This window comes from Homo sapiens, chromosome 5, assembly GCF_000001405.40.
Source record: "Homo sapiens chromosome 5, GRCh38.p14 Primary Assembly".
Classification (NCBI taxonomy): domain Eukaryota; kingdom Metazoa; phylum Chordata; class Mammalia; order Primates; family Hominidae; genus Homo; species Homo sapiens.
In genome coordinates this window covers 116,623,910-116,635,525 of record NC_000005.10, presented here as the reverse complement: position 1 = coordinate 116,635,525, position 11,616 = coordinate 116,623,910, and the positions used below count along the sequence as shown (strand labels likewise).

Sequence of the window (11,616 nt, the reverse complement as noted above, 5' to 3'; positions counted from 1 at the left end):
TTAGCTGGGCGTGGTGACGCATACCTGTAATCCTAGCTACTCGGGAGGCTGAGGCAAGAGAATCGCTTGAACCCGGGAGGTGGAGGTTGCGGTGAGCCGAGATCATGCCATTGCACTCCAGCCTGGGCAACAACAGCAAAAACTCTGTCTCGAAAAAAAAAAAAAAGAAAAGAAAAGAAAAAGAAAATGACCAGAGAGCTACTAGTTCACTCTCCCTCTGCTGTTCACCATGTGAGGATACAACCAGAAATCAGCTGTTCACAACCCAGAAGAGGTCCTCACCAAAACCCGGACCTGCTGGCACCCTGATACCAGACTTCCAGCCTCCAAAACTGTGAGGAATACATTTCTGTTGTTTGTAATCCACCCAGTCTATGGTATTTGTTATAGCTGCCCTATCTAAGATAATAGATCATGTAATATCAAAGGAAAGGTAGTTTTGGAAGCCTGGACAAATACATACTTTAGTTACTTTGATTTGTTTCTCTAATTGATCAAGGGAGAAAGTAGAAAAGGATGCTCAGAAATAGTATTGTTGAACCATATCAAATTATTGCTATTCAACCTTTCTTTATAGCAATTTCACGTGTTTCAAGCTGTTATTAAGCGGGGCATCAAAAAGTTTGCTTTTCCTGGTTGTGAACTACCAGGGCTTGCCTTGAACCTAAGGCCAATAATTGCATGTGGATTTGTGGACACTGGGCTCATCTGTCGAGTAATTTTTAACCCTCATATGGTCCACAGACACTCATTGGTGAACATATGTATGATTAGCCATGAGTGTATTAGGAGACATTTCCCTCTAGCCTGAACGTATAAGTGGGCAAGGGTGACTGAGGACGGCCTGAAGCATCAATGATGTTATCCGAACTAACTAATGGGGCCTTCTCTTCAAGTCTTAAAGTTTAAATTTATATAATCTTTAAACTGAAAGAAATATGAGGTGACCTTCCTCTAGCACACATTCTCTCCCTCCTGCCCCCTATCCCAGGGAGTGCCTCTGCAGTGTTCCCAAAGGAAATATCCAGCCCTTTTCCTTTTCTTTTTTCTTTTTTTTTTTTTTTTTTTGAGACTGAGTCTCGCTCTCTCTCCCAGTCTGGAGTGTAGTGGTGCGATCTCGGTTCACCGCAAGCTGCACCTCCCGGGTTCAAGCCATTCTCCTGCCTCAGCCTCTCGAATAGCTGGGACTACAGGCGCCCGCCACCACGCCTGGCTAATTTTTTGTATTTTTAGTAGAGACGGGGTTTCACCGTGTTAGCCAGGATGGTCTCGATCTCCTGACCTCGTGATCCACCTGCCTCGGCCTCCCAAAGTGCTGGGATTACAGGCGTGAGCCACCGCACCCAGCCTAGCCCTTTTTCAATGTGCAAAATAAGTTTTTTTAAATCCATCCATAAAGGTATGAAATAAATAGTAAGTCTTCCTCACCTATCCTCAATAACTGATCTCCTTCCCTAAAATAAACATGCTTAAGGGTTTCCCAGGTAGTTAACCAGAAAAATTATTATGTTTTCACTTGTATTTATGTTTATGCTTTTTAGAATTTACACAAATGGGAATTTAACATATATGTTCGTCCATTTTGGGTTGCTATAAATATCTGAGACTAAGAAAGAGGAAAATAAATTTCAAAAGAACAAGGGATAGATAAGAAGCCTGGGAATGAAACTATAGAAGAGAGATCATGAATTAGGAGATAAATATATTAAAGAGGTTCATACAGTTAGTTTATTTATAAAGAAAAAAAGGGGTCAGGTGTGGTGGCTCACACCCATAATCCCAGCACTTTGCAAGGTCAAGACGGGTGGATCATTTGAGGTCAGGAATTTGAGACCAGCATGACCAACATGGTGAAACCCCATCACTATTACAAATACAAAAAAATTAGCCAGGTGTGGTGGCACATGCCTGTAGTCTCAGTTACTCGGGAGGCTGAGGCAGGACAATTACTTGAACCCGGGAGGCAGAGGTTGCAGTGAGCCGAGATTGCATCACTGCACTCCAGCCTGGGTGGCAAAGTGAGACTGTCTCAAAAAAAGAAAAAAAAAGGAAAAAAGAAAAAGAAAAAGAGAAAAGATTTCTTTGGCTGATGGTTCTGCAGGCTGTATAAGAAGCATGGCATCAGCGTCTGCTTCTGGTGAGAGCCTCAAGAAGCTTTTAGTCACAGCGGAAGAGAAGGGGGAACAGATGCGTCACATGGCCAGAGCAGGAGCAAGAGAGAGGGGAACAAGGATGGCACCAAGCCATTCATGAAGGATTCACCCGCATGTCCCTATCACCTTCCACCAGGCCCCACCTGCAATGTTAAGGATCACATTTCAACAAACACCCAAACTATGTCAACATGCATACTGCTTGTTATGCTTTTTTTACTTAAAGATCTGCTTGGAAATCCCCATTATGTACAGACAGAAAACCATTCTGAAGTGCATGATGAATGCTTCTAAGGTTTCAGAAAGACCAGCTTGTCTGTTGGGAAACTAGTTGATTGGTCAGGTTATGACAGTGGTGACAGTCCTATTATAACAGCAGCTGAGGCTAGAAAAAAAATCTGTAGAGAATTCCATTGCGTAGACGTGTCCCTAATTTTTTTTAAACAGTCGCTTATTCATGACCTTTTATGTTTCTCCCAGTTTTTTGTCATTACAAATGTTGATACAGGCGTATCCTTGGCAGAGGAATTCACTATTTTTGAGGCAATCTGTTCTGCTGCAGAACACTCCAGTTTTTACAAAATTTGTCCTTGAATTGATCTAATATCCAATACCTTTGGAGTTTAAAGTATTGGTCATAATTTAAAACGTTGGGGTCAAAGAGACAAAGAAACATAGAGAATAGTGTGTTCTTCAGGTTATAAGACATTTTGAGTTACATATTTCAACATAGATCTTGTTGGGCTAGACAGACTTAACAAATAAAAACACTTGAGACCCAATTAATTTGAATTTAGATAAGAAATGAATAATTTTTAGTATAAGTTTGTTCCATGCAATATCTGGGGTATAATTATACTTTAAAAGTATTCATTGTTTATCTAAAATTCATGTTTAATTAGATGCTTTGTAAGAATCTGGTAACCCTTCTTCTGAGTTTCTTCTAGCTTAAAATGACCGCTTCTGTGATCATTTCTCATATTATTTTGTTCCCAGAGGCTCTGGCATTGGAGTCATCTTCAAACTATGACACAGAGCTCCAGAGAAACCCAGCATCGGTCTTCCTTTTCCTAAGCCAATTCAGCACTGTGTCAGCCATTTCTATCCACGCCATAAGGCTTGTGCCCCAGATACAGACCTATGAGTAAAAGAGGATCCACACATTTGGTTCCTACCATAGCAGAGAGAGATGGAACTATTCCGAAAGGAAAGGAGAATGACCATCTCTATTACCTACAAAGTGTGTTACCGGAAGACCACTGAACAGGCCTGCTTTACGACCTTACTTCCCTGGGCCACTATTTCCTTCAGTGCAAAAGGAAGTCATTAAACTAGAATTCTTCAAATCAAATAATCTACACACTCTAATAATAACACAAAGTACAATGCCACTGGTACTTTCTTTAATGCAAACACTATATATTTATTATTCATTCAACCCATACTGCAAATTTCTTTTTTATATATTTTTTTGTAACTTTGTCAAGTGGTTGGTTTATTTTTAAGCTTTCACAGTAGCCAAAGCAGGCAGGTTTCCATATAATGCATCATATTGAGGCTATATTAATTATTCATCAACGAGATCATGTGAGCCCGGGTGCAGGTATTGGATCCATTTATTTTGACACTTTAACAACCAGTTTGGATTGACCATATTGCTAATCAACAGAGTTCAACTGGTTGTTAATGAGCACAAACACATACAATTCCTAGAGGGTAGACTTGGCTTCAATTTTAACTATGAAAAGAAGTGATGAAGAAAGGAAAGAATGTGGAGTGAAAGAGGGGAAAGAATGATTGAGAGAACAGGAAGAAATGGCTAAAGGAGGCAAAGCAAGCGAGGGGCAATAATCACTCTCCCCATTTCTGCTCCTCTCACTCAGCCCAGGTCATTTCTATTAGGCCATAATTTTCCTAAATAGCCCTGATAAAATGCATCACATTACATTTATCATTCTGCAATCTCCTTTTTCACTCAGTGATATTTCCTGAAGCTTTTTCCAAGTTAGCACTTAGGGCTCCACCTCACTGTTTTTACTACTGTATACTCTGTCATTGTAAAAATATACCACAATTTATTTAGTCCCCTATTAAGTTGCTTACCTTTATTGCTATTATAAACAATGTTGCAATAAATATGCTTGTTCATTCTTTGTCATGTACATTCAAGAAGTTTTCTTAAATGTAACATCTGAAAAATAGAATTTTCTGGTCAAATAAAATACAGGACTTTAAATAGATCCTGTCAATTTTGAAAAGGTCTGGAAGGTAACAGTTTATTCTCTTGGGAGTGGACTGCTGTAACAGTCAAAAGGAATTTTATCCTTATCTATAATTCTTAATTATTAACATAATTATTAATATAATTTTTAATCGATATTTAACAAAGAAAATAATTTATTAATCATATCATGAAACAATAATTTTTCAAAAAAGAATATTATTTTAGACACATAACACATCAATGGCTTAAAAAACTTTGAGTATCAAAGAGATCCATTCATCCTGCCTCTCCCATCAGGGTGCCTGCCTATGGGTGAAAATAACTGTCTTAGTGAGAAAAGGCTGAACCTACACACACACACACACACACACACACACACACACACACACACACACAGAGAGAGAGAGAGGACTGTCTAAAAGTCACCCTTGAACGGGCTAAACACATGCCCTTTCCATCCAAATCTGATACAAGGGCTCTGGATGGGGCTGAGGTTTCTAAGGGAACCACCAAGGAGTGGCTTCCATTCAGGTTCTGAATAGTTGATTAGGTCGGTACAAAAGGAATTGTGGTTTTTGCCATTACTTTTAACAAACAAAGAATTAAGGTGGAGACCAAAATATCTTTAGTAAGCTGATTTTGGTACGTTTGAGAATACAAATTCCATGTGTCAGTAAAGAGTCCTACTAATACTGAGCCTCAGAATTAGGCAGACTTACCTGCCAGTCATGTCCCTAGCCCAATACCCTGCCCCGTCAGTCCAGATCCCATCAAAATTCAGAGGGCACACTCAAATTAAGATAATTCAAGGAAATTTGATCAAAAGTGTGGACAGGGAAATTACTCCTAGGGGAAGACCAGCATGTGTCTTAAATCCAACCCCCAGGCAGCAGACTCCTGAGAGAGACATGCAGGCAGGGAGTGTTCTGGGGAGTGGCCTCGATCAAGATCGATGCCCATGCAGAATGAAAGAAGTGGGATGGGGCAAAGGGAGGTATGAACTGCAATGAAGTTGTGACGAAGGCCTCAGTCAACCCCATGGGGAGTTCAGGGAGTAGGATGAACCCTCCTAGATGTCTCACTAGATGCAGGCAAATTGAGCCTTTCTGCTTCTGCACTGACCACACACTGAATTGGGCTGTACATTCCCTGGGGAGGGGAGTGTGGTCTGGGTGAAGAGAGGTGGCTCATTTTTTGCTAAAGGCAATTCCTGGAGAGGGACTCAGCTAAGCATCACAGGTTACCCACACTCTCAGTAGCTGGGAGAATGATCTTAGCTCTGACAAGGCATCTGGGCAGTGCCCACAGCATGAACTCAGATTCAGCCCCAGGCCACTTGGATTCACTTTCATTTTATAGCAAAACTTGGGAACAGCCCCTCCAAGATTCTCGCTGGCCTGTTTTCCTAGGTAAACTTAACAAGAGGAAGGCCAGTGACAGGAATTATAGCCCCAGAACCCCCCCAACTCCCATGCTGCAGTTTCAAGGTAACTACACACATCATTTCTCTCCTCCCCTACTCATTCTAGATTCTCCTCACCCTTGGCTAACACCTCTGATGGTCTAAGAGGCTTACCTGTTGGGGACACCTCCACCTTCAACAGTAAGATCTGAGCCTTTCTCAGGCCATGACCACTGCATTTGTCCATTTTTTGTTGAAATTAGGCAAGAGGGTTCCAAGAGAATCCCAGGGAGTAACAGCAGCCCCACCTCCTCCTGATCATCAGGGCCCATTACTCCTGCTGGGATGAAGGCTATTTCCCTTTTCTGATAGGCTTTGGCATGAGCGACATTCAGTAAGCATAGCTTAAAGCTTAATGGGTCTCCTGCTGAGTTTCCTGGTGGAAATGTTCTCCCTTTAGAAACTAGGACTTCTAAACCACAAAAGCCTGGGAGTGTAGTAAGAAGCATAAATTCCCTACATTGGTCACTTGAAGTGATATAAGCCGAGCTATGCCTATTTCTACTCTTTGATTTCCAGACTCGCACTTGCTATCTACTGGGGACACAGCTCTAGGGAAAGGTTGTTGATTTAGGACATATATATTATGTCTGGAGAACAGCGCCCATCTTCACAGCTTATCATCTCCAAGCTGGGTCCTCAGTGGCTAGTAAGCAGCTTTTTTTTCACTCTTTCAGATCTCAACTTCTGAGTGACATAGGATGTGATAAGGCCAGGGGATACCATAGTCAAGGGCCCACTGCCACACCTCCTTGTTTTTAACTGAGTTCTCTATCTCTCAATCCAATGCAGTGCTACATGGGATCCTATGTCCGTGAGTTAAGCCTTTTGAGAGTCATACTGGCAGATTATTCCAGGCAGAAAAGGGAGTCTTGTATCTGGTGCACATGTTGATTCAGTCAACACGAAGCACTGCTCCTTCTGAGATGAGAGGGTTCCAATGTAATCTCTTGCCACCAAGTGGCTGGTTGGTCTCCACAGAGGATGTGCTGAATCAGTGGCTCAGTATTGGTCTATGTTCCTACAAGGCTGGACATACAGGGTGGCAGATCAGTCTTAGTAAGAGGGCGCCCATGCTGTTGGATCTATGCATAGCTTCCATCTCTGCTGCCATGGTGTGAGGTCCATTTGTTAGCATCAGAGTGACCAATGACTGATGTCAACTGGCTGGGTCCTTTTGCCTACTGGGTTGTAGTGCCTTTTCCCTGGAAGATACTCTCTGTTGAGCATTAATATTTGATACAAACCTTGTCACACATTATCTCTCTCAAAGAGGCTTTCACGCACTTCTTCCCTAGGTCTCTTCAACCCTAATCCTCCAAACTTTCTCCTTCCTGGCTCTGGTTAACTGGACAAGCCATTTTTTTTTTACTGACAATGAGCCCACATGTGTTCTTACTGTACACCACTTCTCTTTGCACACGAAGTGGATAAACATGTACACTTCCCAGATCTCTGCTTGTTAGAAGAATTTCTCTTCAGTCTTTCTTTCAGACCACCCCTGAACAGAGCTGTAGTAAGCAGGCCCTATACTGCTTATACCCATATAAAGAGCCAACCCCTCTGTAAACCAAGTTTGGCCTTTTACCTCCTTCATCAGCCGATCCTAGGGGCTCCTGCCCCCACGGAGATGTGGGTGTGAGCTGAGGGAAAGACACTACTGCAAAAGTGGCAGGTGAATGGGTCTGTGCCTGCAGGTGCCCAGCCCCAGATGTGGCTCTTTCATCTTACCATGAATTTCTTGTAGGAGTGTAAGATTTTCTGATTTGGTGGGTCTGACAGAGGCCAAAGGAGTTCACTGATGTATGTCATTCAGGTCAGCCTCCTGGAGCCTGGAGACGGGTGGAGAAGAGTAGACAGTGGATTAAAGGCAGACAGAAGATACTCAGGTCACCCCTAAATCCTGCCCACTACAGGGCAGAGCCCTGGAGGAAGAGTAGAACTTGTGTTTCCGGTGGGTAGCTCATTCCCAATAATTCTTCCCAGATTAATCAATCATTAAATGACGTCCACTTCCCAGGAATAGAATGAGTAAAGGGGCAGAGAGAGGTCAGAAGTATGCTTAGGGAAAATTCCTCTTAATGGAAACCCAGTAGGAAAGAAGCATTCCTGCTCCAGTAAGCACAATGGATCCGGTTCTCCAGGCCCAGAAGAACTAAATGCAGCCTCATAGGGGAGGTCCCATTAACAGCTAGAATGTTCTAGTGCTGTCCAGCTCCAGTGCTGTCCAACAAAACTTTCTGTGGAGATGAAAATGATCTAAAAGTCTGTGCTGTCCAGGAGAGTCACTGGCCACATGTGGTTACTGAGCACTCTATATGTGGCTACTGCGACAGAGGAAATTAGTTGTTTTAGATTTAATTTTGATTTATTTAAACTTAAACAGCCATATGTGGCTAATAGCTACTGTACGGGACAGCACAGAGACTAGGGAATGTGTAGGCACTGACTTTACAGGTAAACACCCTTAGACCCCAATCACACCTTCCCATGGAGCTAATGAGAGCACAGGCACTTTCACCTAAATCCACTGAAACAGGCTTTTGAGTCATTCAGGCCCCACATCACTGCTCACCAGCTGTGTGATTTCAAGCAAGCACTTTACTCTCTGAGATTCAGTTTTCTTATCTGTGAAATGAGAATAATACTTTACAGGGCAGTTGTGGATATTAATGAGAGAACACCTGTAAGATGTCTGGTCTATAGGGGTCATTTTATTAACACCCCCTCATACCAGACCCCAGCCTCAACTTTCTAACCTCTATGTTCTTCTACTTCTGCTTTTCCTTAGTGAATCCGTAAAATATCAGCCAGTTCTTTAGTCTGAGCTTGCTATCCCACTGTAGAAGAAGAAAGTCAACAGGGCTTCCTGCTTTGGATATTCATATTTATTGACCTCAGAGAATTGGAGACATGGATCACTTAGAATATGAAATAGAGGGTTGGTACTTTACTTTTTGGAGAGGGAGGAGTGAAGTTCATTCTATAATCTCATAAACACAGCATTACCTTCTACGTCATCCGCAGTTTACCCTAACAACAGAATTACTTAATCAAAATCAGCAGGCTCGTTGCATCAGTGGAAGTGAGATTCTCGCCTATTTTTGCTGCCAGATCCTGGGAGTAAAAGATGAGAGGCTGAAACTCTCAGTTGAGAGCCCTCATTTTAGAATTACGTAATTCCTCATGGGCAAACAGCCAGAGCCAAATTTGGCAATTCACCAAGGCTCGCTGGAGGCCGACTTCTCCTCCGTTTGTTGGCTGCTTGGCGAGTTGCTTTTGTTTTGGTTTGGGACGTCATAAGTGATGTTGTGAGCTGTGCGAGTATTCTCAAGTCTGCCTTTTGGCCTGTTGATGCGGGGAGGAGAGCTCTTCCTTTGTTTTCGCAGCTCAGTGATGATCTGGTTATTTCTGCGGCAGGAGGTGTCGGGAAGTTCAGAGGTTCCAATTTTAACCAAGCTCCACTAAGGGTCCCTCTGATGAATTTGTGTTTTAATTTTTTTTCCTTGTCTCAGCACCAGACATCATATACACAAATAAAATGTATGAACCTGGCCTGGGGACTGGGAGCTGAGAAGCCTTGCTGAGTTTCAGGGATGAGTTTTAACATCAGAGCCTCCTCATCTGTTTACTTGTTATTACCTATGCAAAATCCTGTTATGAAGGCACAAAGTAGGTCAGGCCCAGCTGTACCAAAACAGAACATAGTGAAGGAATTATAAAGATATCCGTAAAAGCCTGTCCCGTCCATGATAAGACACACTTTCACAGATTTTCTTTTGGTGGTAATCCTGCAAGTCAACCTCATGTCAGTGAACTAACTCTTCCACCTTTGTCAAGACAGCAGGAGTAAGCCAGTGTTTCTAACAATGTTTTGTGGAAAAGGGTAGTGTGTATTTATGGTAATCAAAAGCACTGAGAACCTAGAGAAACTTCTATCCCAGTCTGATGTACTCTTATGAGACTTTCTGCCCTTTCCAGGTCTTTGTTTTTCATGAAAAATAATAAAATAACTTTCATTAGTTCCCTCTCAACTCCTAAAAATCACTTTGTACTATTCTTAAAAAAATAAAAGTGTGTATGAACAGAACACATGAGCATATCTTCAGATTACCTGCATTTAAATAGCTCTACCAGTTTGCAAACCTTTCTGGAAAGATGGGGAAAAAGTTTTTAGGCAACTTGCCATCTTAAAATGAGCTAAAGTTAAATCCCTAGAGAAAAAGAGAAAGTGGGAAGAGTTGTAGTCCCAATGCCTTCAAAGACAAATGGAATTAATTAGGGCACAGAGCAAGCAAAAAGAAAAGAAAAAGTCATGTTCTAACTTCAGCAGGGTGTTTTTCTCTCCAGAGGTCTTTCTCCGAGAGAAGTCCACATTAGAAAACATTTAGCTCATGGAACTCCAGTCTTAGCAGCCCAGTGTAGAGGCTCCAAATCTGCTTATCTGGGCAGAGAGGAAGCACGTACTTCATTCCTTGTTCTGAAAAATGCCGGTAAACCAGTGGGCCTTGTGCCTGACCTGCTGTCCTTGTCAATAATTGTAGATTTCCTTCTCAACATCTCTTTCCCCACCTCCATTCAGAGGGCCACTTGGAGAGAAAACCAGTTCCTAAAAAGATGCCCAGAAAAATGTGAGTGAAAGGGCTGCTCCATGAACACCCTCCCCACCAAGGGCACAAGAAAATGATGTCCTCTGGTTTCTTATTTGCCCATCCAGCAGGGTGATCTGAGAGTTTCATCCCACTACAGAGTGAAGATGTTTGCACAGTTCGTTTCCAGCCCCACATCCCCACCCATATTCCTGGTAGCATCTATGCAATCAGATAACATAGGCAGCACCATCACACCTAGTACTGTCATTCTGAACACCTCTGCAAGATCCCTTTTTTCCTCCCATTGTCACTTCTTACAAAAAAAAAATATGTATATATATAGCCTCAAAAGAGAGAAGTAGGGTAGATGGCTTAGGCGCAGTGCCCTACTGAACAGCAGAATATCCCCTCTCATATGTGTCGGGATCCTTCAGGGACCGCTCTGCCTATGTCCTCTCCCCTTGATCAAGCCTCAGTCTGCCCCTCATCCCCCACCGTGCAGCCTCTTATCTCTAGAGTCCAAGGTAGTGTTCTACACAGAGATCTAGAGATGTGGTATTATGGAACAGTCCTAGGCTAAGTCAGACGTGGAGCCCAAGCCCAGATCTCCCCAGAAGTACAATCTTCTGCAAATTACTTAACCTCTGGGAGCCTTCATTTCCTCATGTGGTAAGTGTGGATAATAACACCTAATTCACGGAGCTGGTATGAGGCTCAGAAAAGATAACATACAAAAAGCTTCTAGTTTGGCACACAGTAAGAGCTCAAAAAATACCAGTGCTTTCTGTCTTGCATAAAATAGTCAATGAATCTGAATGAATAAATCAGCCTTTCTTTCTGTCCCTTTTTCTCTCTGTCTTACACACACACACACTTAAGGCAAGACAAGAAAAAAGGGACAGAGGAGTAAATAAGAGGAACACATCTAGTGGTACATAAAGTCATTCAAGCTTCCTAGACTATAGTGACCTCATCTATAAAATAAGGAGGTTGGGTTGCATGATTTTGAGATTTGATGAAAAACTGAATTGATCTGTGAGAAAGAGAAAAGAAGTAAACGGACACAGGAATGACTGTGGGAGGTGGGATCACAGTCTCCAGAACACCTACAAGAATAAGAAGGTTTTCCTGGAGAGGTTGACAGGGATTCCTTCCAACTTCCTCAGAGGCCCCAATCCCAGAGGA

General features: G+C 42.5%; 2 annotated features.

Moving 5' to 3' along the window:
* Window positions 2,258–2,387: an enhancer, noted in NCBI's record as "active region_22946". NCBI's record gives its function as "activates an Ori minimal core promoter by ATAC-STARR-seq in GM12878 lymphoblastoid cells {active_cell/tissue: GM12878}" and the evidence as "EXISTENCE:reporter gene assay evidence [ECO:0000049][PMID:35858748]".
* Window positions 5,921–6,732: an enhancer, noted in NCBI's record as "OCT4-NANOG hESC enhancer chr5:115964490-115965301 (GRCh37/hg19 assembly coordinates)". NCBI's record gives its function as "activates a minimal SCP1, AML or CMV promoter by ChIP-STARR-seq in naive and primed H9 embryonic stem cells {active_cell/tissue: H9 hESC(naive and primed)}" and the evidence as "EXISTENCE:reporter gene assay evidence [ECO:0000049][PMID:30033119]".